The sequence below is a fragment of the Homo sapiens genome, chromosome 1 (genome assembly GCF_000001405.40).
Source record: "Homo sapiens chromosome 1, GRCh38.p14 Primary Assembly".
Classification (NCBI taxonomy): domain Eukaryota; kingdom Metazoa; phylum Chordata; class Mammalia; order Primates; family Hominidae; genus Homo; species Homo sapiens.
In genome coordinates, this window is record NC_000001.11 from 214,257,238 (window position 1) to 214,282,816 (window position 25,579).

The window sequence follows — 25,579 nt, forward strand, 5'->3', positions numbered from 1 at the left end:
TCTTTGTCCTTGAGAATGTATGCCCTTAAAAACACCTTTACTTTCATTTTAGTATGGTGTCAGTGAGGAAGCTGTGGTAATCATATATGTTCAGTTCATCAACTTTAGTTGAAAAGCCCCCATTAAACTGTGACGTAAATATAATGACTTTCTTGGAGTCATCCATATAATGGAATTTGAAAGTGTTGGAAATAAGCTTCTATCATAAAAATTCATTCAAACAACATCAGTGACAGAGAAGTGTTCACATAAAAATGATATTTATGTATATGTTGTTCTAAATCTGCTCTAAGTAACAGGAAAAAAGATATTCTCTATAGAGGTAAAAAGGCATTTGTTTATATTGACTAGTAGCTAAGGAAAAAGTGAAGTATCTTCCTTTTGTCCATGTCTACTGAGTTTTAGTTCAGATTTTTTCATAACTAGATATAGCTGGTTTTCTATCACTACCAAATGGAGAAAGCCCCCGAGAGAGAGAAATATCAACCAAAGCTAGGAACCTGAGTCTCCACAATAAATCCAAAGGTAATATTAATTGAGTTTGGATTATGTGGGTGATTAGGCCACATGGAGTGCCATGATGCTCATCTCCCCAACAGCCATGACCCCCGACCCCTGCTGCACAGCAGCCCGTGCTTCAAAGGGCATTGGCGCCACCAACATCTCCGAAAATGCAAGTCAAGGGAATCCCTTTGAACTTGTCACAGGGCTCAGGTGACTGAGGCCATAAGACTGCCAACACATGGCATTATACCGGCCACAAGAATTGGCACTAAACTCAAATCACTTCCCTGATAAATTGAAGAAAGGCATTTCTTCTCCTTGGGCATTTTCAAGAAAGCAAACAGCCCAGCTTACTTTTGGCAGCATCTCTAGACCTGCGAAGAAAGCCAGCACTGGGTGGAAGACAACAATTTGGATGGCAGAGCAGAGAAGCAAGAAAAAAAAACAAAGAAAGAAATAAAACAACTAGATTCTTGATCAAAAATACAGAAGCCTGGTCTACCTCTGTATTTTTCAACATATGACTCAATAAGCCGCTGTGTTTCCAAAGTTAGATTAAATTGGGTTTTTCCTCTACTGATAAATCTCATCATATGTCTGTATTATCTAGCTTGTCTACTACCATTATACAGTGTATTGTGGTGGGAAAATATGTTCTGGAGCTTGCCTACATTTAGTTAACCAGTTATTCAGTTAACCAGCTATAACAGTTACCCAGTTATAAGAGTGTTAAAACGGGTCTGAGACTAAAATTCAAAACTTACTAATACATTCACCACAGGGACTTATTTGCAGTTGAGTAAACTCCTCATTTTCAACAGTTATTTTTATTTTATGAAAATAACAAATATATGTGTGTGTGTGTGTGTGTGTGTGTGTGTGTGTGTGTGTATTCCGCCCAACCCCCCAGAGACAGCATTTCCTTTCCTCTCTGTCCTTGCTGATAGTAGCTATGCTTAGGCATAACCTTTAAAAGCCATTTACTATATCACCAAAATGAGGACTGTCAAGTCATAACCATCAGAAAAAGAGGAAAGAATTCTCATATTCCAACAAAGCACACTTAATTTAAGAAAATAAACACAGATGCAGACTATTCCTCCACCAAGAGAATTGCTTGAAAGCATTTTTGAACATTACTGTCCTAAAGATGAGTATGTTATTGATTAAATAACACTAACAGCTCAAAATGTAGATGTCATAGTATCTGAATAATACAGACATTTGTAGAAAATCAGAGCAGGTAATTAAGGAAAATTAATATACTTTGCAAATTTAATTATTTGATTGACTATCTTCAGTAATTTAAATAATTGTCAACTCTCCTTTTTATTTTACACAGCGTAATAATTTTCCAAACAAAATGAGAAACATAACAAGTATAAATAAACAATAAAAGAGAAGAATTCAAGGGCACATTCCTTAATACTCTTCTCTTCTCTATCCACACTCACTGTCTTGGTCATCCTATCCAGGCTCACGGCTATGAATACCATCAATACACCAATTGTGACCAGTTTTAAATCTCTAGCCCTGACCTCTCTACAATCTCAAAACTTCTATATCCAACTACCTTTATGACATCTCCATCTGGATGTCTGATAGACAGCTGTAACTCAGCATGTCCAAAACTGAACTCTTAATCTTCTCCCTCAAAATCTGCTCTACCTAGTCTTCCCTATCTGTGGGAATGACAGCTTCATTTTTCCAGTTGCTCTGGACAAAAATATTGAGTCACCCTTGTCTTTTTCTCTCAAACATCACATCTAATTTATCAGCAAATCCTTCCTGTTGGCTCTACCAACAAAATATCCAGAATCTGATCACATCTCTCCACCACCAATTCTACCAGCCTGTGCTGAGTCACTCTCCTCTCTTGCTTGGATTGTTGCAATAGGCTCCTAACGGGAGATGTTGCTTCCACCTTTGTCCCCCTACGAGATTGATCCTTTTAAGTGTTAAGTCAGATCACCTCACTCCTCTGCTCAAAATCATCCAGTGGCTTCCTATTTTACTCAGCATGAAAACCAAAGCCTTCATGGTGACCTTTGTGAACTCATCCTCTATTTCCTCTCTGACTTCATATCCTTCTCCTCTTTCCCCCTTGCTCACTCAGCTCTAGCCATACTCTGGGCATGCTGTCACCTTAGGGTTGTTCTTCTCTGTTCTCTTCTACTTTCCTTCCAGGTGCCATGAGGTCATATTTGATGAAACCTACCCTGGGGATCCTCTTTAAAACTGAAACCCTCTTCTCTGCAACTGCCTGTCCCAATTTCCCACTATGCTGCTCTATTTTTCTACTTTTCTTTGGCAATAATCACTTTCTAACATTCTCTGCAGTTTACTGAGCTATAATATTTGTCTCTCTGTCCCATCAGAAGGCGAGCACCATGAGTTCAGAGATCTTGGTTTGCTCACTGGTGTATCCCCAGCACTAAATCAGTACCTGGAACACAGTGCTGAATAAATAGGGCAGGCACTCTCCTACAAATGCCTTATTTGTTGATGATAAAAACAGAATAATCCCAAGACTACAATTAGACCTTATTTAGTTTCATACAAGACTTTGTAATTTGCACTATTTATTTTCTATTGGATGGAAACTTGATCTTTTTTGAAAATACATAATGATGCATGTAATTCCTAGTACTAATGGAAAAACATGAATAAATAAGATGTAATATCTCATACACTTTCATATAACATATGTCTACAGATTTCAAAGCTTGCCTGTGGATTCCCAACTAACACACTTTGCTTATTTGTACCACTTGTGGTGTCCAGGCAGATACCTTGGGTGTAGCCATGGCTACCTCTTATTCTGAAATAAGTAATTATTTTGCCTCTACTTTTTATGCTAAAAATGTCAAACCTAGAAAAAAGTTTTAAAAATAGCATAATGAACACCATATACCCTTTACCTAGTTTCCTAATTATTTTACATTTTGCCACATTTGCTTTCTCTTTCTTTCTCAGGTATATTTTTTTCCTGAATTGTCTGATAGTAATTTGCTGATATCATGATATTTTACCCCTAAATAGTTCAAGTATCACTTAAGAACAAGGACATACTGCTATATAACAGCAATAAGAGGTCATACTCAAGAAATGCAACATTAATATGATTATCCAAAATATAGCCCATATTCATATTTTCCTAATTTCCCAATAATATTGTTTGTAGTTTTGTCTCTTTATATCCAGGGTCTAACCATGGACAATGAATTATATTTAGTTGTCATAGCTCTAAAATACTTCTCCCCTTCCTCCTCCTCCTTCTCCTTCTTTATTTATTACGTCATTGACATTTTTAAAGGGTCTGGGCCAATTGTTTCCTCATTACAAGATTAAGGTTAAAGATTTTTAACAAAACCTTTACCTAAAAATTGGACTTGCAATGCATGCCTCGATAGCTATAAAAGAGGCCGTACAGTAAAGTGATTATAAGCCAAGTTCATGGAGCCAGAACTACCGGGCTTCAAAGCCAGTTCCACCACCCATGAACTGTGAGAAATACTTACAGTCCCTTGCCTCAGTTCCCCTATTTATAAGATAGAGATGCTCATACCACCCACCTCATTAAATAGGTCATCATATGCGAGGCGCTTAGAATAGTACCTGGCATGTGGCAATTGCTTTGTAAGTGTTAGCTCTATTTATAGTTTTAAAACAACCTTGACTCATTTCCCTTTGATGGTTGAGATGTAGGGGCTGAAAAACACAGGACTGAAGTGTTACATCTTCCCCAATATAAACAGCAACTCTCAATGGCTTAGCTTGGAATTCTAATTAAGTCTTATTATTGTTTTGGAAGCTCAGAGTGGTTTTGCCTCAACCCTTTTGACAAATGGTGTTCAGTGGAGATTCAAAAGGGAGACAAAAGGTGGACTGGTGGTGCAATCCGCCGGCAAGGCTCAGAGATGAGCGGCCTTGGCCTGACACGCCTCTAGAGGGCAGCAGAGGCACGAGCGGCTCTCTGGCTCCCTTGCAAGTGAACCCGCCTGTCACTCCTGTCCACAAACCCGTAACCGGGAAAGGAGGTCAGCTTGACTCAATGGGCTAAATAGGTGTGGGACTGTTCACTTGAGGAGCTGAACCGAATAACCAGGAGTAATACCAGCATACACTATCTTTTTGGTAATAAAGCTGATGTTTAACTGTTTCTGAAGACTGAACATATCACACTAATGTGCTCTCCACAAACAAGCCATGGTAACATGAGGCTCACCAGATCTGGTGCCAGCAATTTAATTCTTAGCAAGCAGCTGAGTATGGAGGGTGACTTAGTGATGTAATCGCTGCCAGTGCCGGCTCCCCAGGGCAGGGAGTACCATCAGCTCTGCACAGAACAGAGAGCTCATCTGCCTGGCTGCCACTTCTTCTCTAGAATTTACAAACACATATAAGGGTTTTCGACTTCAAATCAACTTTCAGACCATTTTGTAAATGTTTCTTACTATCAGAACTCAAGTTTTCTCCTATAGTTTAGTTATCACCAAAGGTTAGATACAGGTCTCTTAAAAAAATTGGAGAGTAGTCAGAAATAAACGACAGATGATTATTAGCAATGTTATCAGCACGTTCTCCACATTCCAGATGGGTAGTACAGGGTAATGGGTAAGGGTATGAATCTGAAAGCAGACACCAGAGCTTGAATCCCAGCTCCACAATTGACTATTATAGCTGTGTGATCTTGGTCAAGTTATTTAATCTCTCTGTGTCTCAATTTCCTTCTCTGTGAAATGGAGATGATAATAATAGCACCTACCTCATAGGGTCATTAGAATCGAATCAAAGGAGTTAATATATGCAAAACTCTTACAACAGTTTCTTGCACTTAGTAAACACTGTAGAACTGCTAGCTTTCATCATTTAGGCTCTCAAAATCTTTTGTAAGTATTCAAGCCTTTCCCTCTCTTCTTCCTCCTCCACAACCAACGATCCTGATCCACGGCAGAGATTAGGGCTAAATGCACCCACACAGCGTTACCCTCCACAGGTATGTGCAAAAAAGGGGCCTTTCCCCCTTCACTATGTTCCTTCACATAGGAAGAAAACTGGAAAACTTCAACATTTCCTAAGCCTTTCATAAAAGTGTTCTCACTCTTCTTTGTGCCATCTTCTCTACACCAGCAAGGTTCTACTGAATTTTCTTCATGCAGGTTGGGTTACCACTTGTTTCTCTTCTGGTCACTTGCTGTCCAGCACCGCCAATCTAAGAATCTGGAAGAGGTTACGAAATTAGTCACCCACGGCTATGCACAGACCTTCCCTCTTTTTATCAAGCAAAAGCGATAGACAAGTATTATACATACTCCTGTTTTTAGAACAGAAAAATAAAGAGAATTCTTTTAGTGAAAATAAAGCAAACTCTTCTAAAGTTAAAACAAAGAAATTTTTAAAACTTTCAGAAATCAGATATTGCATTACACCAAAACTAAAAAAACCGTGGGGGTGAGGTTTAAGAGGATGATGCATATATAGAGAATCAACGCGGCATTCTAAACTGTCATCTTAATGTAAAAATAGGCTCTGTATAAATATGTCTCATTAAAAAAGACTTATGGAATCACTTTTTACATAATTCTATAGGAACTGGGCACATTCTGTCAGAGAGGGTTGGGAGTACTACATTTTTCAAAGTATACCATTGTCTAATATTTTGTCTGTTCTCTGAACTTACCTTAGGCTTAGGGGCTTGGGTATCTGAAGCTTAGTTCAACAAAGTATTAATGGATTTCATCGCAGATATACTTTCAGCGTTTTTAAAAATCCAATAAAATCAAAATAGTTTATGTTACATAGTCCATTGAGAAAATTGTAGAAATTTATTGATAATACCATAGCACATGGTAAAGATCAGATCTTATCCAAAATAGCATAGTGGTTAAAAGCACATGGCTTTTGGAACCAAACGGCAGGCTTTCAAATCCCAGTTCTTCCACTTACAAGCTTTGAGATCTTGGGCAAGACTCAGTGGCCTGGCTGTCACATGGTGGGGCAGCGATAGTGTCTACCTGTAGCAGATAAAGTAGGTGTTTCTGTTGCACTCCTCTCGGTGTGCACCTGACACATTCCTCCACAGATCACACATATACACCTTCTGTGCCATCCTTGGAGGTTGTCAACCAATGACTGTGCAGCAGGATGAGCGCCAGTTTCCCTTTCCTAGCCTGCACCCTAGAGTCATGCTATGGGACCAGGCTGAAGCTACCCTCTGAGGGACCCTGGCCTGAGACAGAGCCTTGCTTGGCAGCCTCCTTTCCCTGTCTTACCTTCCCCAATCCATTACAGGTCCCTCCTGGAACCACCTCAGGGATACATCCCATGCATTTAAACCTCTCAGTGTCTGCTCCTGGGAACCTAGGGCTTAACACTTAGCCCTCATACAGTTTTCAAGCGATGGATTCTAATATATCTAAAGCCCCTAAAACAGCACCTGGCATATAAGTGCTGTTTCAATATTAGTTATTGTTAACATCTGCGGCTGGACCTACAGTATCAAGGAGAACCGAGGGAGCTATACAGGGACTTCAAGCAAACACAAAACCACAAACACACAAACTCTTGAGAAATGTTGAGGGAACTGAATAATCCATCTAATTACTTCCTTTCGCATCACTGGTTGCACCCTTGGCCTTAATTACAAGGGAATACATGCTTCTGGCTGAGTTGTAATACAAAGAGGCTGCTGCTGTGTGCTCCCAGGAGACCCACCACAGGCATTCAATTGAGTTAATAAGTATGGATACTGGAAGACTTGAATGTTCTCTCTCCCATGTGCCTTTTTTTTTTTTTTTTTAATAAGTGAAACTCTTTGGTTCGTCCTTTAACTGGGTTTCATAGAGCAGTTTCAAGGTTGCTTGTTTGAAGGTAAGCAGCAGGAGTCTTAAGAACTTAATTTTAAGAAATTCAAAGAGCAAAGAATGCACTTTGTTCTTTGAGTTTCTTAAACCTATATTTCACATCCTTTCATAATAATTTGTCTTTTATGGATAAAATATACACAAATCACTTAGGAAAAAAGGCATGTGAAATGACCTTGGGCGATCAAGTTCTTCTGTTTTTAAATGGCATGCCCAGTGTAGTATTAAGATTTCTATATGGGAGCATTTCTAGCACATAGAACAGCTCAGAAAAAGAATTTATTATTTCTTTATTTTTCAGTTCAAAAATAAGGGCAAAGAAACTTACTCATAGGATTTCTTTTTTTAAGGTTTTCATTTATCAGCGCCTGGGGAAAAAAAAAAAACTGATACAGGCAAAATCCCAACATGATAAAACCAGAACGAAAGTAATAGTGGCTGGGGGGGGAACCACTAAGTGAATTATTATGATCCTAGGTGCTAAAAAAATTATTCTTCCCTGATTCTCTCATCTGACCCCACCACAGGCTGGCTTTTGTCCACCTCACAGCACTTGAGCCATTAATGATCTCCTCCAAGCCAAACTGAATGTTCTCTCTTCTATCCTTGTTCACTTTAATCCATTTGTTGCCTTTGTTCGACTCAACCACTCTCTTCCTCCTCCTCCATAAGCCTCTCTTCTCCTAATTTTGTCTGATCCTTTAGTATTTCTTTTCTTTACAATTTTATTGTATATTTTTAAAATAAAAATGAAAACGGTAATTAGAGAAGAGGGAAAAAAGGACTCAATCCAAACACTATTATTTTATTGTATTTTTCCTCTGATTTTTTTCTTATTGGTTTTTATACACTATGAATAGGATTTTGTATCCTTCATTTTCTACCAGATTTTTAAAAGTTATTTCACATGTTGCTGCAAAAGTCCTCATAACCTCCCTCCTTAATTCCTCTTAATACTTTCCTATCTCTCTGACTTTCTCCTCCTAATCTATTCTGTTTCCCCATGGGAATTCACTTCTCTGCACTCTACCCCCATGCCAACTAATCCACCGATGAGCCAAAAACTTTATATCCCACATTCCCCTTTTACTTTCAAGTATCCCTTTTGTTCTAATGATATGGATATCATTTTAAAAAAGAAAAACAACTCCAGTGTGCTCATCAAAACATTCATACCAAAATACTACTTATCTGGAAGTTAATCTGGAAATTTAGATCAAAGATGTATTCCTCTGAAATGCCTAAAGCATATCTTTCCTCCAAATAATTCTGAAGATTTTTTCAGAGTTCATAGAAAAATAACAGGTAGATACAGGTACTTATCTACCTGTTAGTAGTTTTCAACAAGATTGATTCTAGGTTAGTGTTTTCCAAATTATTTCCAGATAAGACCAGTGAAATATTAGTAGATATTCTATTTTGTAAAGGGGTGGTTCCACGATCAAAAGAAGGTTGGGAAACCTTAAATCACGTAAAACTAAAAAGGTTTCTTTACTATAAGAATTCTCAGAGCGGTCAGGCGTGGTGGCTCTCACCTGTAATCCTAGCACTTTGGGAGGCTGAGGCAGGAGGATCCCTTGAGCCCAGGAGTTCGAGAACAGCCTGGCAATATAGGGAGACCCTGTCTCTATTTTAAAAGAAAGAAAGAAAAAAAGAATTCTCAGAGCCATTAAAATATTAATCTCAGCACCTAGCATAATTGGTAGGTATTTAGTAAATATTTGCTTATGACATGAATGTGAATTGTAAATATCCAGGAAAAAATACTACCTGTAACATTTCCCAAAAGAAAAGCAATTTATTTATTAAAGATATTTAAACAACTATTTAAAAGATTGTTGCAGTATTGTTCAACTAGTTAAAAACCTTCAACAATACTGATGTCTATAAACTGAGGGTTGGTTAAAGAAACTACTACTGTACAATAAAAGAGCATGTAGCCGTTACATTATGATATAGGTCAATATTTATTTTATTTTATTTTATTTTATTTTTGAGACAGAGTCTCACTCTGTCACCAGGCTGGAGTGTAATGGTGCGATCTCGGCTCACTGCAACCTCCGACTCCCTGGTTCAAGTGATTCTCCTGCCTCAACCTCCCAAGTAGCTGGGATTACAGGCACACACCACCATGCCGAGCTAATTTTTGTATTTTTAGTAGAGACGGGGTTTCATCATGTTGGCCAAGATGGTCTTGATCTCCTGACCTCGTGATCCACCCACTTCGGCCTTCCAAAGTGCTGGGATTACAGGCGTGAGCCACCCCGCCCCGCCAGGTCAGTATTTATTAACAATAAGAAATGACAATGACATTTGAGAAAAAGTAGATTATAGAACAGTATGAAATTCTGTATGCTATCTCTCTATATAGAGAGATAGGTCACATAAAGAATATATATGTAAAAGATGGCATGGATATAAACAAAAAGTTAATAGTAATTATCTTTGGTTGGTGGGATTATATATCATTTTTACTCTATATATTTTTATTATTGATCTCACAATGATATGTCTTATTTAGTTAGAAAAAGCAATAAAGCTATTTCTATTTTTAATAAATAGGCTGGGTGCAGTGGCTCACACCTGTAATCCCAGCACTTTGGGAGGCCAAGGCAGGCGGATCACCTGAGGTCAGGAGTTCGAGACCAGCCTGGCCAACATAGTGAAACCCTGTCTCTACTAAAAATACAAAAATTAGCCCGGCATGGTGGCAGACTCCCGTAATTCCAGCTACCTGTGAGGCAGAGGCAGGAGAATTGCTTGAACCCAGAAGGCAGAGGCTGCAGTGAGCTGAGATCATGCCACTGCCCTCGAGCCTGGGCAATAGAGCGAGACTGTCTCAAAAAATAAATAGATAATAAATAGGTAAGAGCAGTCTTGACTAGACTTATACATTTGGTGGCCATTCCTACAAAACTACAGATAATAAATCAACTTTTTAGAAAGCTTTTCTGAGCTAAGCATTTTAATCACAAAATGATTTTTAAATATTCTATCTTGTTAATAACACCAACCACAAAATTAATGGTGAAACTTATATATCAGAGTCTATTTCACTTCTTTGCATTTAATTCTCAAGTGTTACTTGGATATCTAAAGAAGAACAACTTGAACTTCCCTGAGCATCTTGGAGCAAAAAGACAGCACCAGAGTCCACGATTGGATTGGCACTGATCCTTCTTAGCTATATCTGTGAATAGGATATGTAATGACTTCAGCCTCAGTTTCCCTGACTCTAGTAAAGCTTTTGTACTAAATGATAATAGAATCTCTTACTCCACAGTTTGATGATTTCATCTAAAATGTCTCATATAAGCTGTGATGAATTTATTGGAAATTAAATGAAATGCAGGGAGTGATACTCAATGAGTTAAATTATTTTTTCTATCTGTGGGCTGTAAACATTATCATAAGTATGCAAATAAATAAATATATACATTTTACATTGGTTCCATATAATGTACTAGGTCTTATAAATTTGTATACACTTTACCCAGCAATTCTACTTTTGGGATTTAGCCTAACAAATTATTCAGGAATGTAAATAAAGATTTTACTTGACAAAGATGCTGATTTCAACATTATAATAGAAAAAAATGGACATCAACGGTATTGAACAAGGAACTAGTTAAGTAGATGACAGAATATTATAGAACATCACAATATAAAGCCACTAAAATGATATTGAAAACTATTTACTGTCCTGGAAAGAGATTTACAACCAGGTTATAAAACAGCATGTATGATATAATCCTCTTTTTGTTATAAAATATTTATATGTACATAAAGAAATGTATAAAAAGATCTATAACAAAAACTTCACACTAGTAATCACTGGGTTGATCTGTGTTTTCAAAACTTTATATAATTAATATAGAATGCTCATAAAGCAATAAAATCAGTGGCCTTGTGATTTTTCCATAGTTTGTTTCCTAAGTACTCTGGGTAACATAAACAAATCATTTATAGTCAAAGAAAAAATAGGATTCAATAAAACTATATCAGTAAATGCTTAATATAGTAGTGTTAATAACACTGGCCTCAAAGATGCTTAATCTGTCTTCCAAAAACAATGAAATTGTGATGACAGAAATGAATTTTTAAAATGCCTTTAAATAAATGATAGTTTTCTATTCAATTACATGTGGTCTTATGCTTCTTGATCCACAGCAGTCTTGTATATTAAATGGTGCAGACATGTACCAGTGTCCATGACCAAGACCTAAAATAAGTTAAAGTGTCATGATTCTAAGCATTTAGCGTAAATTTATTTGAAGACGCAACAATCTGGGTTAAGAAATAATTCCAGAGTAGTCTCTGCAATGACACTGTAATACTATTCATAATATCCGTGCTTCTACATTTTAGAGACTAGTATAATATTTTTTAAAAGAAGATGGGATCTACAGAGTGTTGACAAATTTTATTTTGCCTAGAACATTAAAAAGAATACAGCCGGGCGCAGTGGCTCACGCCTGTAATCCCAGCAGTCTGGGAGGCAGAGGCAGGTGGATCACCTGAGATCAGGAGTTGGAGACCAGCCTGGCCAACATGGTGAAACCCCATCTCTACTAAAAATAGAAAACTTAGCCAGGCATGGTGGCACATGCCTGCAATCCTAGCTACTCAGGAGGCTGAGGCAGGAGAATCACTTGAACCCTGGAAGCAGAGGTTGCAGTGAGCCGAGATCGCACCACTGCACTCCAGCCTGGGCAACAAGAGCGAAAGTCTGTCTCAAAAAATAAAAATAAAAAGAATACCATCTACAGCCTCCGTTGTTCAAAAGGAAAAGATGTTCTAACCTTGAAAATGTCCTGATCTTAGATATTTTTTAAAGTCCTTAAAAATGAGTCAGTTTAGCCTTAAAAGTAGCACACTGCTTTTCTCATTTTGCTGCAGACAGGCAAAAACCGTAGCAGACGCTGGCACTGCCTCTTAGGAGGCACAATTATCTAGTAAAGAGGTCTCTGTAAGAAAATGCCCCAAGACAGACACTGTGTATATTTAGTCAAACATCCGGAAAGTTGTTGAAAAACAATTCAGAGAATATAAGAAAGTAAGCTGGGTTTATTTAACATTATTTAGGCAAGACAAAGGCAATTTTTTGGTTGGAGTTAATTTAAATAATAAAACATTAAAACTCACATAACCTTAATGATCTTCCTTCCCAGGCTTCCCAAACTTCAGTCATTCATGTTTTATCTTCACAATTTTTGGCATATTTGCATAACACCTCCATTATTATTTATTTAGTTCCTTTAAGTCTCCCTCCAAGGCAATAACATCTATGAAATCAGGGGTTTAGTGAACTAGCTGTCCACATTTAATCACTCTGCCACCTAAAAGGACCCCACAAACACAAATCTACTCTAACTTCCTCATTTCCATGAAGAAATGTGTTAAGCATATTAAGCATTGTGTTTCTGATCTTACATGAAGAGGATGGCAGAGCAGTTGATTGATTTCAAAAACAATAGCAAAACACAGGAGATTTTGTTTATGTCCCGACTGTCAGATTAATTATCTATAAATTACACTTATAACTTCAAAGATGCTGGAACTTACCTGTCCCTCCTATCACTGATTTTTTAATTTGTTTTCAATTCTTAACATGGCTCAATGCTCTGCCTTGTATTATCCATTCATCTAACAAATATTTACTGAGCACCTACTTTGTGTCAGGCTCTGCCTGGGGCTATAGCAGTGTGCAAAATAGACAAACATCCTTGACCTCATGGGGTTTTCATCCTAGTAGATTTTTAGAGCTTTCTAAGTATATGTCATGTTTCTTCTTGTAGAGTCTAAATTCTTGGAGGACAAGATCTGATTCCAATTTAATTTTGGCTCCTCCACAGCACACAAGAAAGCATTCTGCAGTTAAATCAATAAATGACTAAATAAGGAAAGGATGCAAAAGTTCTGCAATTGGTTTATCCTTTGACCCTGAAAGCTATACTTATTAATCATTTTTTAACTTTTATTTTAGGTTCAGGGGTACATGTGAAGGTTTGTTACATAGGTAAACTCGTGTCATGAGGGTTTGTTGTGCAGATTATTTCATCAGCCATGTATTAAGCCCAGTGCCCAACAGTGATCTTTTCTGCTCCTCTCCCTCCTCCTACCCTCCATTCTCAAGTAGACCCCCGTGTCTATTATTTCCTTCTTTGTGTTCATAAGTTCTTATCATTTAGCTCCCACTGACAAGTGAGAACATATGGCATTTAGTTTTCTGCTAATTGTTTTCTTGTTTTTCCACATAATCTATTTTTCTCATCAGTATTCAATGTTTCTGATTTCAATTTACGAAATGTTGAAGATAACAAAAGACAGAGACGTAGCCTCTAGTAAAGGGAAACTAACAACTGATGCAAGAAAAAAATAAAAATGTCATCTGCTGTATTCAAAGTGCTATATTTCAGAAATACAAGCCAGTGAAACAAAAGCCTGAATTTTTAAAACTTCATAAAAAGTAGCATTTGAAGTATATTCAGATATTTGCTTGACTTCTATGTACTTTCCAAAACATTTAAAATAATTATTAATACCTGAGCACTAAATTAGCTGTATTTAAAGTTGTATAAATTAATTTGTTATCAAGAAAAGAAAAAATCCTGGGTTTTTTTTTTTTTTTGGTTTAAGAAAATATGTTATATCTACCTTTAATCTTAATCATTTCCCAAATAACAAACATTTAATGTTACTGATTTTAACCCTTATTAGGAAAAAAACTAAGCCCCCCAATTTTTTTTGCAGTGTTGCAATACCTTCCAAATAAGATGACAGCATGTGACCACATCAGCTTCCTCAGCTCAAAGCTATGAACTTTTTTCCTCCTGTATTTTTCTTCCCTCATATAGAAGAAAAATTAGACTGATATACTCAAACTCTATGTCAAGATTAAACCAATAAAACAGGTAGAATAAGGTTTTAAATATCACCTCTCTCTTCTTTTTGTGGAATTTCCCTGCCCTCACATAAAATCAGTTGGAATTTCACAGAAGCACTGAAAAATCTGGCTTCATGTGAGATGCTGAAAGAGCCTGTGGCAGTGAAGTCAAGTTCTGTGCCCAGCCCCCTCCTTCAGCCACTAGATGACACTGCCTCCCCCCAATAACGAAGTTGTTAGCAGTTCTCAACAAGACAGAAACATGCAAGACTTCTGAAATTTGTTACCTTTGGTACTTTTTGGGGTGGGCGGGGGTGGAGTGGGGAGATGGGGAAAAAAGCGTAATTAGACTTACCAGAGATAAACATTTTAAAAGCTTTCATGTCTAGTTCAGGACCAAACATGTTATAATGTAGTATTTTCTGGGCTCTTTTTTGCCTTTTTATTGAATTTTTAGTAACTGGTCAGAGCTATTACATTACCAGAATCATGAATACAAAGTCAGCTTAAGCTTTTCTCCCCACCAACCCCCCTCAAATACAAGGCATGGCTGGTAGTTTAAGAATTCATCAAATCTGACCTTCAAATAGTTAATTTAAGCATGATTTCTCTGGCTTTCTTACTCCTCCCACTGATAAGAGTTTCTTCTTCTGGGGTAACTGCCTCTAGTAAAAATGCTGCAATGCAGTTAAGATGCTGGTGTGAGGACTGTAAATTATGCGTTAGGGGAATTTTGCTATGCTGCACTTCAGCCTGGAAGCAAAGGTTTTTTTCTGTTCAAGTCCACAACTTTTGCTTGCCAGTGAGATGGCAGAGCATTACGTGGGTGCCTTTTGGCCATCTGGATCCATAGGCACCCGAAGACAACACTAATTCCATGATTAGGAAACTCTCATCACTTCTACTAACATAATTGTTTTTTAACTACTTCAGAATAGATTCTGATGAATAAAGCTACTGATCTCTTTAAACACTTCATAGATTCACTACCTAGAATTATGTATTCATTCTTTGGATATGGTGTCATAAAGTCTAGGTACAAGTTCAAAAACATGCCCCGTGTAACATACTTGTTAAAATCCAGTGTCACCTCCCATCAAAGCCTGATCAGCAATTTCAGTACCTCAATCACTCAGAAAATATTTCCAAATTTAACACATAGCAAGTATCAAGCTCTCCACTAAGAAGACTATGAAATAAATACAATATACAGTATTTCCCTTTGAAGACCTTTTAACTTACATGGGACTACACAAAAGTGTGTGTGTGTGTGTGTGTGTGTGTGTGTGTGTGTTTATGGTTGATGATCATAAGCCAACAAGGTACAGATAAGACTTACTTTAGGAAGTAGGGACTGTTATGGAAGAAATGTTTGGAGAAGGCTTCACAACATAGATAGAACTCAAGATGTGTACGACAGCTAAGGTTTGGGTTTTCAAAGCCAAAAAGAGAGCTTGGCCTTGATGAGGCATCTAATAAAGGGCAACTGGGAGTTTTTCAACGAAATGTCACTATTAATGTAGTTATTTTAAGACTATGTGTTTGACAGCAGTAACAAAGGCATATAGAATAGGGAGACCTGAATGATGACGCTCATCTGTAAACTTGTGTATTTAAGAAACTGTGATAATTTTCATTATGAGTGTTCATTTTCCCTGGGTGGTAGAGATGTCATCTTGGTCAGTTTCCTGGGGTTGCTTCTTGCACTTGGCTGGCACAGTGATGCTAAGGCAGTGAGTGCTTGGCTGGGGTTGGAACACCTGGTCCTTGATCATCAATCCACACAGATCTCTGGGTCATCACAATGGTGCTCTTGGATGGTGTCTTGGTCTGTTCTGGTTGCTGTAACAAAATGCCACAGCTATTTCTCACAGTTTGGGGAAGAGAGATCAAGGCACCAGCAGATTCAGTGTCTGGTGAGGGCCTATTCCTAATACATACTGTCTTTCTGCCTCACAATGTGAGAGGCCAAACAAGCTCCCTTGGCCATTTTAATTTTTATTTTATTTACTTTTTTTGAGATAGAGTCTTGCTCTGTCACGCAGGCTGGAATGCAGTGGCGGGATCTCAGCTCACTGCAACCTCCGCCTCCCAGCTTCAAGTAATTCTCCTGCCTCAGCCTCCTGAATAGCTGGAATTACAAGCACCTGCCACCACGCCCAGCTAATTTTTGTATTTTTAGTAGAGACAGGGTTTCACCATGTTGGCCAGTCTGGTCTTGAACTCCTGACCTCGTGATCCACCCGTCTCGGCCTCCCAAAGTGCTGGGATTACAGGCGTGAGCCACCGCACCCGGCCACCTTGGCCGTTTTTATAAGGGCCCTAATCCCATTCATGAGGCCCATGCCCTCACAGTCTAATCATCTCCCAAAGGCCCCGATTCTTAATATCACCATGTTGGAGGTTAGGATTTCAACATATGAATTTGGTGGGGAAAAGGGGGTGAGCGGGAGTGGCACAAACATTTCAGATCACAGCAGATGGCTAACTTGTCTACTCTAGTGCTCCTCTTGGGTGCATGGGAAATCACTCTCCTATTTCCCATGAAGTATTTCAGTCATTTCTCCCACACACTGAATTTCTATTACACAGGGAGTCTGGGGGTCAATGTAAAACTAGGACATAGGTCAGCCTTGTTCTGAATCCCCTCAAACCCATGGGCGGGGTTGGGTTTAGTTATGTTGTCTCACTCATCCAAGGTTCAGTCTGGAAGGAAACTATGGCACATGCCTCTTTCTCAGAGAAATACCCTCAACTTCTCTCTGGCTTTCCTTCCAATTCTCCTTTATCACAGGTCTGGAGAATCTTTTCTGGCAGAGGGAGTTGTGGCTCCTGCATCATCCTGAATTTGCTAGGACTGGAGCCCTGAGTCCCCCAAGTCCTTAGGCTTTTGCAATCCAAAACCCTAGGCTTTTGAATCTAAATTCAGGGGACTTTTTGCTCCTATTCTGCAATATCATTTCTTCTCTAAGTCAATGCCACTGACTAAGTGGGAAGTTAACGGTAAGGGGTAAGAGGAAACACAGAGTTGGAATGTATGATCCCAGGCTAATATCTCAAAATTTGAACTCACTCTGCTGTTGAGAGTCTACTGCACAAAACCGGACATAAAGACTTAAGGGCTGAGTGGCATTAAGAATGGAAATAAAAGATTAGACAAGAGATATGGCGAATGAAGAAATAACAAAATCTTGTTTGGGGAATAAACACAAGGCTCAAGTGGGGGGCGGGGGGGAATGAACTGGAAGGACTGGATGGAGGTGATGATGTCAGTTGTCCTTGGACATATTTTTTATGGTTCATATTCCCTCTCCTTTCTCTTCACTCGCCCCAATTACCGTGTCCTGTTAATTAAAAGTTCTTCAAATCCATGTCCCTCCTTCCCATTGCCACCGTCACTGCCCTTGTTCATTCCAGTAACATCTCTCCTCTGGACCCTTTATTGCATCAGGCGCCTCAGTTCCCTCTGTCTCCTCAGCCCCTTCTAGTGTATTCTCTATTTAGCTAAAAAATGAACTTTCTACAGCAAAACTCGGATCATGTCAGCCAAAATTCTTCTGACTCACGTGCCTACACAGTGCCGTCTAGCTCCTAGGCTCATGGGTTTCATGATGGGGCCCACTCCTGCCCATCCACCTTCATCCCAAGTACTCTAAGGAAAGCTGTAGCTCTGGCTGAACAGAGAGGCAGCATGGTGGAGTGGTTCTGAGCCTGGACTCACTGCTAGACAGCTTGTTCATACATGTCACTTCTGTGATTCTGTGTCTGGAATTTATTCCTTCCGGTGGGTTCTTGGTCTCGCTGACTTCAAGAATGAAGCTGCAGACCCTCGCCATGAGTGTTACAGTTCTTAAAGATGGTGTGTCCGGAGTTTGTTCCTTCAGATGTTCAGATGTGTCTGGAGTTTCTTCCTGGGGTAGGTGCATGGTCTCGCTGACTTCAGGGGTGAAGCCACAGACCTTCGCAGTCAGTGTTACAGCTCTTAAAGGTGGCGCGTCCGGAGTTGTTTGTTCCTCCTGGTGGGTTCATGGTCTCGCTGACTTCAGGAATGAAGCCGCAGACCCTTGCAGTGAGTGTTACAGCTCATAAAGGTAGTGCACATCCAGAGTCAGGAGCAGCAAGATTTATTGTGAAGCGCAAAAGAACAAAGCTTCCACAGTGTGGAAGGGGACCCGAGCGGGTTGCCACTGCTGGCCTGGGTGGCCAGCTTTTATTCCCTTATTTGGCCCCGCCCACATCCTGCTGATCGGTCCATTTTACAGAAAGCTGATTGGTCCATTTTACAGAGTGCTGACTGGTATACTTACAATCCTTTAGCTAGACACAGAGTGCTGATTGTTGCATTTACAATCCTTTAGCTAGACACAGAGCACTGACTGGTGCGTTTTTACAGAGTGCTGATTGGTGCATTTACAATCCTCTAGCTAGACACAGAGCACTGATTGGTGTGTTTTTACAGAGTCCTGACTGGTGCATTTACAATCCTCTAGCTAGACAGAAAAGTTCTCCAAGCCCCCACTCGACCCAGGAAGTCCAGCTAGCTTCACCTCTCAATTTGGTATTCTCCTCTGTGGAATGTCATTAGAAGGATTATATGAGAATATATTTTAAAGGTACACCTGGTACATAGTGAGAGCTATGGAAACATTCGTTAAGTCCAAGAAAAATTGTCCATTGGACTGTCAAAGTCTCTCCTACCCCAGTGAATTTCAACTGTGGTCTTTATTATTTATTTATTTATTGAGACAGTCTCACTCTGTGGCTAGGCTGGAGTGCAATAGCACAATCTGGGCTCACTGCAACCTCCACCTCCCGGTTTCAAGGTATTCTCCTGCCTCAGCCTCCCAAGTGGCTGGGATTACAGGCACACACCACCACACCTGGCTAATTTTTTGCATTTTTAGTAGTGACGGGATTTCACCGTGTTGGCCAGGATGGTCTCAGTCTCCTGACCTTGTGATCCACCGGCCTCAGCCTCCCCAAGTGCGGAGATTACACGTGTGAGCCACCATTCCCAGCCTATTTTTTTTATTTTTGAGACAAGGCTTAGCTCCATTGCCCAGGCTGGAGTGCAGTGGCATGATCAAAGCTCACTGAAACCTCTGCCTCCCAGGCTCAGGCGATCCTCCTTCCTCAGCCTCCTGATTAGCTGGGACTACAGGTGCATGCCACCACGCCCAGCTAATGTGTTGCTCTTGTTGTAGAGATGGGGTTTCATCACATTGCCAAGGTTGGTCTCAAACTCTTGGGCTCGAGTGATCCACCTACCTCAGCCTCCTAAACTGCTGGGATTACAGGCATGAGCCACCATGCCCAGCTCTGCACTGTTAGTCTTAAGCCCATTTTGGGAACTTTGCTTTCCCTTGGTCAATCTTTCCTCTTCCTTCTAGAAGCTAAAATGTCAGGTTCTCTGTGAAGCCTTCCTACTGCACTTTGTTCAGCTCCCTATTAAAATTTTATTGGATTATTTTATTAGCTCCCTGTGGCTGCTATGACAAATTACCACAAAACAGGTGTCTTAAAACAACAGAAATTTATTCTCTCATAGTTCTAGAGGCCAGAAGTCTGAAATTAGATTAACAGGCTGAAGTGAGGGTATTGGCAAAGCCACACTCCCTCCCGAGGCTCTAGGGGAAAGGTGTTCCTTGCCTCTTCCAGCTCTGGTGGCTGCCAGCATTCCTTAGCCCATCACTGTATCCCTCTCATCACTGCCTCCATAGTCACATTGCTGCCTCCTCTCCTGTCTGTGTCAAATTTCCTTCTGTCCTTCATCAGAAAACTTGCAACTGCACAGAGAACCCACCTGGATGTTCCAGGATACTCTCACTCTCTCAAGATCCTTAAAACACATTTGCAAGACCCTTTGAAGCCATTTATAGATTCCAGGGATTGGAACCTAATATCTATGAGTGCCAACATTCAGCACTTCATAACTGTTTTCATGTATGTTGGTCTTTACACCTTGGTATGACTAGGATCTATCACAGTGTAAGTACATAGTATGTCCTCAATAAGTGACATGTAGACATAGATGCAGAACTATACAGCATCTAGGCCCTTTGCTCACGTTCACTGGGATACCTTCTTTGCTAAGGCTTCATTTCCCTAGGCCAGAGCTATTTCTTTCATGTGCTAATCTGTGGTTGGAAGGATCTTTTACTCATAAATTAGATCAACTTCTAGGTTAGAGAAATTAAGCAAAGGAGTTTTCGTCCTTGTACCACTTCTCCTGAGTTTCAGTGAGGCAAAGTAACCAAAAACACTCCTTTCAAATTCCATACCTCCTACGTTATGGAGCAGAGGGCGTAGGAAAAGTGGATGGGTCCTGGCTGCTCAAAGACTTCACGGAATGTGAGATTACAGAGTGGCAGAGTGACAAGTATGGGCTTCATGAAGAGCGCTGTCATCAGTCTCCCCGGGCTGGTTTATTGCCATTCTTTGGCTGTTTATTTTAAACACAGTTTTCTTAGTAATTTAAGCTCCTAAATTCATGGCTACTGCTTCAGTGACCATTTCCCCATCTCGAGTCATTTAAGTTCATCACAGGGATTTTTCTGAAATGAGGCGGTTTCTTTTCCAGTGTTCTCAAATCACAGTCACCTCCACCCTCAAGAATAAGCCAGCACTCATCTGGAAAGATAATTCGGTAGCTATGTAATTGCTTTTTTCTCAGCTGTGGAAATCTTTCCCAATTAAAGTGGAAAAAGTTACTTGCAATAAAAAAAGTAAACAGGTAGATTACTTTGCACAATTAATCATTGAAACAGTAAACTGTCTACTGTATTGTAATTGTTTACTTCTACGTCAGTCTTTTCATCTTTTTGCTGGTTAGAGCCCCCAGAAATCAGAATGAGATTCCATGACGTTTATTCAACCTTTAAATATTTTTTCCATTCTCTCTGTGTTCCAGGAGTAGTGATAAGAGCTGGTGATGTAAGGGTAACAAAAACAGACTCATTCCCTGCCCTCATGGAGCTTGTACAGTCTGGTGGAGGATGTAAACACTAATCAGGTCATCACACAGACAAATGCAAACTGTCAGTGGTCTCACATGCCAAGGCTGTTTATATACATGTAAACAGTTATGAAGTGCTGAATGTTGGCACCCCAGCCAACCCACAATGCTGCTGGCAGATCAGTCTAAAACACTGGACTCAATGTGCCACCCCTCACTTAAACGCTTTAACTGGCTCTCCCATGGCCTCTGGGGCAGAACTCACCTCTGGAGAAGATGCTCTTCAGCTGTTCCTGCCTCATTTCCTGTCCTCTCTTCCAGATGCTCAGGGGCCCCCAACTACAAGCTCTGTGCTTTCAGGGTCTTCTGTCTTTGTACGCAGTTCTCTCTGCCCAGAAAACTCTTCTCCCCACCTCCACTTGCAAAATCCTGTCCATCCTTCAGGCTCAGCTCTAACGTTACTTGAATGTGATGCCTGTCTTGACTGTTTAGCAGGCTAAAGCTGTCACTCCCTGCCTGTACTACCACAGAACATTTTGTACAAGCCACCATAACTGCACTTATCCCAGTGAACTGTGTTTGTTTGCAGCAAAACACTGTGGTTAGGAACATGGACCTTGAATTCAGACTGACTTGGAAACCAAATTCTGCAATTTATTGTGTGGCCTTGAAAATCATTCCTTCTGGGTCTTAGTTTCCTTCCTAATTTTGGCAATGAGGGGCATAATACCTAACTCATTAGCCTGTTGTAAAGATAAACCAGATAATGTGTTTAATGATGGAGCACGATGCCTGGTCAACAATACTCAATAACTAATGGTATTATCAAACTTGAATGTGCCAAATGCAAGGACCTAGGACTACATTTTGTCCACTTTTTTTTTTTTTTTTTTTTTGAGACAGAGTTTCGCTCTTCTTGCGCAGGCTGGAGTGCAATGGTGCGATTTTGGCTCACAGCAACCTCCACCTCCCAGGTTCAAGCGATTCTCCTGCCTCAGCCTCCCGAGTAGCTGGGATTACAGGCATGCACCACCACACCTGGCTAATTTTGTATTTTTAGTAGAGATGAGGTTTCTCCATGTTGGTCAGGCTGGTCTTGAACTCTCGACCTCAGGTGATCCGCCTACCTCGGCCTCCCAAAGTGCTGGGATTACAGGCGTGAGCCACCACAGCCGGCTGATGTCCATCTTTCTATCCCAGTTGCTGGCCATAGTCAGTCGAAGTTTCTTAAAATGCATAAATGAAAATACTATCATAACTTCCTTTACTTGAAGACGGGTTAGAGGCTTATTTAGTTTGCCACTAATAAGGGCTTTTTTGTTTTCTTTTGAGACAAGGTCCTGCTCTGTCACCCAGGCTGGAGTATAATGGAGTCACCACAGCTCACTGCAACCTTGACTTCCCAGGCTCAAGCTATCCTCCCACCTCAGCACCACTTGAGAGGTGGTTAATTTCCCATAGAGACGGGGTCTTTATGTTGCCCAAGCTGGTCTCCAACTCTCCAATTCCTGGGCTCAAATGATCCTCCCACCTTGGCCTCCCACAGTGTTGGGATTACAGGGCTGAGCCACCACACCCAGCTGATAAAGACATTTTACTGAAATGCCAAAAATTCCACTGATTTTACATCTCCAATCATATTAATCCTTTCCCTTTGCTCAACCAGTCCTGAACTTACACAGGTAACTGTTTGAGGTCCTATTTTGAAGTAGTGGTTTCTGCTAAATGATCTCGTCACAATTTTAGTCTTTACTGCATGTACATCAATTCCAGTCTTTACATAATCATGTGGAACACGGATTATATTTTCCTTTCTCATATGAAAAGTAATAGCGTGCATGTGTATAGGATTTACGTTTCAGGCTTTGTGGGCTTTAAATCCTTTGACTCCTAACCCAAGTGACTTTTCTAAGATCACAGTTCGTGGGTGGTCAAGCATATTAAAACTACTGCAAACTCTAGCGCAGTGTCCTGGACACTGGCCACAGCATCGCATTATCCCCCAACAGCCTAAATTCCTTGAAGGCAAGGTTCTCTCTGGCTTCCTCTGCAACGTTCGCAGCATGCCTCAGAGACTCGGTGAGCTGGGCCGGCCAATGCATTTCCTCTTCCGTCCATGTAATTCCACTAGAGGAGCAGAGGGCAAACTACGTTCCCATTAAAGCCACAAGGTTTAAAAACCTCTAACCTTGGAAAAGCACACTTCAACCCTCTGCACACCAAACTTCTCTACTGTGGTTTCCCCTCTGCCGCTTTCTCCTTGGCGTTCCCCGATCACTGCCTCTAGGGTCTTTACAAGGGACAGCGAACGTAAGGTTTCGGAGCTGGCTTCGCCCCCTTCTATTTACCGGGGGCTGGTCATCCTTCGGGCCAGGCTGACTGTCTAGGGGTGGCCCTCGGATACCTGGTCCCCGCAGGTGACCCCCCTCCCTCCCACCGAGGAGGAGGGCGCGTCCCGCTCGCTCCGTGGAGACGCCGCGGAGGCGCACACGCCTCACGCCTCCTCGCAGAAGCCACAGGGGCTGCGGCTCTTTGTCGCGGCCACACCGGAAACGGCCCGGAGCGCGCGCGGGGCGGCCGCCGAGGGTCGCGGCGCTAGGCGGGGCCGCCGGGCCCGTCCCCCTCCCCGCGGGGGCGCGCGAGGCCCGGGCGGGGCCGCCCTCCCTTCCGGGGAGCGGGGAGCCGCCGCCGCGTCCGCCGGGCGGCTCCCACCCCGCCCCCCGCAGCTCTAGGTGACGCGTCTCCAATAACAGCTCGCCGGGAGCCGCAGCTCGGGCACAGCCGGCGGCCGCGCCCCGCCGCCACCATGAGGGCCGAGGGCCTCGGCGGCCTGGAGCGCTTCTGCAGCCCGGGCAAAGGCCGGGGGCTGCGGGCTCTGCAGCCCTTCCAGGTGGGGGACTTGCTGTTCTCCTGCCCGGCCTATGCCTACGTGCTCACGGTCAACGAGCGGGGCAACCACTGCGAGTACTGCTTCACCAGGTAGGGCGGCGGCGGCGGCGGCGGCGGGCGGGAGCCGGGGGCGCCGAGCGGGAGGCTTGGACGGCGGCGCCAGGAAGTGCGTGCGGCTCGCGGGGTCCTAGCGCCGGCCCTTGGGGCGGGGTGGGGGGCGGGGAGGGGAGGAGGCCCCGCGCTGCGGCCCCGCGCTGCAGCCCCACGCCAGGCGCCACGTGCGAGAGGAAACAGGACCGGTGCCCCGCTGCACGCCCTGCACTGCACGTTTTCAGAGTTGCTCACGCTGGATGCGCAAACCCGGGCGTGCAGGTTCCTGCCCTCAAATGTGGGCTCCGAGCCAGGCTTGTTCCAAGCCTGGGCACTCACTGCCCTCCCGGTGCATTGGCAGCGGAGCCCCAAATTTGGGCAGCCACGGGCTGTCACCTTTAACTTATGCTTCCTGCGGTGTGTTCTGTTACCCACAGTCCAGCCCTGCCTCAGATTGGCCGTTTCTTCCAAGGAATTTAATGACTTAGTATATGTCTTGTAAAGTACGCTTACATGTTAAAGTACGCTTACATGGGTGTTTGGAGGGACGCCAGTGGGCACTGACCACACCCCCTGGATTCTGAGGTGCTGCGACGATGAGTTGCAGTGTCCAGTTTCGGTTTGGGATTAGGAAAACATGGTCGCAGGAAGGGATTGGGCAAGATGTGTGGTTGCTAATGGTATTTAATTGTAAGATACCATATGTATATATGTGTCTGTGTTTGTATATATGATGCATATACATTTGCACACACCAACACATAATTATATCCTCAACTCTTATGAGAGTTTCAGAGCTTAAAGGCACATTAGAAATCACCAATTCAGTCTTGTCTTTCACTTAATGGATGAGAAAACTAAAGCCCAGAGAGAAAGTGGAGTTACCTTTATCCATTCACACCAGTAGTGAAGGGAGTGAAATCTGGCCTTATTCACTTCTGCCTATTTCTCACTGGTTAGGTGCTCAGTAAATTTACTAAGGCAGGAGGCATGGCATTGGGGTTAAGTTTATATCAGGCCTTCCAGTACTCTGAGTAGAGACCATGATTTGCTTTCTTTGAACCTCAGTTTCTTCATCTTTGAAATGGAGATTCCTGGGCTGGATTAAGCTGACCTGCGGTCCTGCAGGGACCTTTTGAGTACAGGTCTCAAGTCCAGCATACTCAATCTCTCAGACCTGTGTGCCTCATTCTACAATAAGACGTAGCAAAAGAAGGGACAAAGGCTAAATATTGTAGTAATCTTGCCCAGACTCCCTGCCAGAACTGTCTTCCGCTTGGGGGGACCTGGAAAGGAACTAGACACGGAATCATGCCGTGGGCAGCTTAAGGGCTGTATGTGATGTGGCTCTTTGAATTGGTGAGCCAAGAGCTAAAGGGTCATGGCACC

The 25,579-nt window shown here is 41.7% G+C and overlaps 1 protein-coding gene and 1 long non-coding RNA gene across 4 annotated transcripts in view, besides 6 other annotated features; one reads left to right on the top strand and one right to left on the bottom strand.

Moving 5' to 3' along the window:
* Positions 1-1,800: 1,800 nt before the first annotated feature.
* LOC124904509 (uncharacterized) lies at positions 1,801-23,799 on the bottom strand. The gene is made up of 2 exons (XR_007066876.1): positions 21,477-23,799; positions 1,801-5,727 (listed from the first exon to the last, which is right to left on the bottom strand). It is a non-coding gene; the product is annotated as an uncharacterized LOC124904509 (long non-coding RNA).
* Positions 2,601-2,670: an enhancer, noted in NCBI's record as "active region_2530". NCBI's record gives its function as "activates an Ori minimal core promoter by ATAC-STARR-seq in GM12878 lymphoblastoid cells {active_cell/tissue: GM12878}" and the evidence as "EXISTENCE:reporter gene assay evidence [ECO:0000049][PMID:35858748]".
* Positions 4,380-4,429: a silencer, noted in NCBI's record as "silent region_1811". NCBI's record gives its function as "represses an Ori minimal core promoter by ATAC-STARR-seq in GM12878 lymphoblastoid cells {active_cell/tissue: GM12878}" and the evidence as "EXISTENCE:reporter gene assay evidence [ECO:0000049][PMID:35858748]".
* Positions 22,877-23,442: an enhancer, noted in NCBI's record as "H3K27ac hESC enhancer chr1:214453457-214454022 (GRCh37/hg19 assembly coordinates)". NCBI's record gives its function as "activates a minimal SCP1, AML or CMV promoter by ChIP-STARR-seq in primed H9 embryonic stem cells {active_cell/tissue: H9 hESC(primed)}" and the evidence as "EXISTENCE:reporter gene assay evidence [ECO:0000049][PMID:30033119]".
* Positions 23,722-24,011: a silencer, noted in NCBI's record as "silent region_1812". NCBI's record gives its function as "represses an Ori minimal core promoter by ATAC-STARR-seq in GM12878 lymphoblastoid cells {active_cell/tissue: GM12878}" and the evidence as "EXISTENCE:reporter gene assay evidence [ECO:0000049][PMID:35858748]".
* SMYD2 (SET and MYND domain containing 2) overlaps positions 23,922-25,579 on the top strand; it is a 55,973-nt gene continuing 54,315 nt past the window's right edge. For all 3 annotated transcript variants that reach the window (NM_020197.3, XM_047425700.1, XM_047425702.1), the window contains exon 1: positions 23,922-24,190. In NM_020197.3, the coding sequence (NP_064582.2) occupies positions 24,018-24,190 (173 nt within the window). In that variant the 5' untranslated portion in view covers positions 23,922-24,017. The remainder of the gene's footprint in view (positions 24,191-25,579) is intronic.
* Positions 24,032-24,151: a silencer, noted in NCBI's record as "silent region_1813". NCBI's record gives its function as "represses an Ori minimal core promoter by ATAC-STARR-seq in GM12878 lymphoblastoid cells {active_cell/tissue: GM12878}" and the evidence as "EXISTENCE:reporter gene assay evidence [ECO:0000049][PMID:35858748]".
* Positions 24,182-24,341: a silencer, noted in NCBI's record as "silent region_1814". NCBI's record gives its function as "represses an Ori minimal core promoter by ATAC-STARR-seq in GM12878 lymphoblastoid cells {active_cell/tissue: GM12878}" and the evidence as "EXISTENCE:reporter gene assay evidence [ECO:0000049][PMID:35858748]".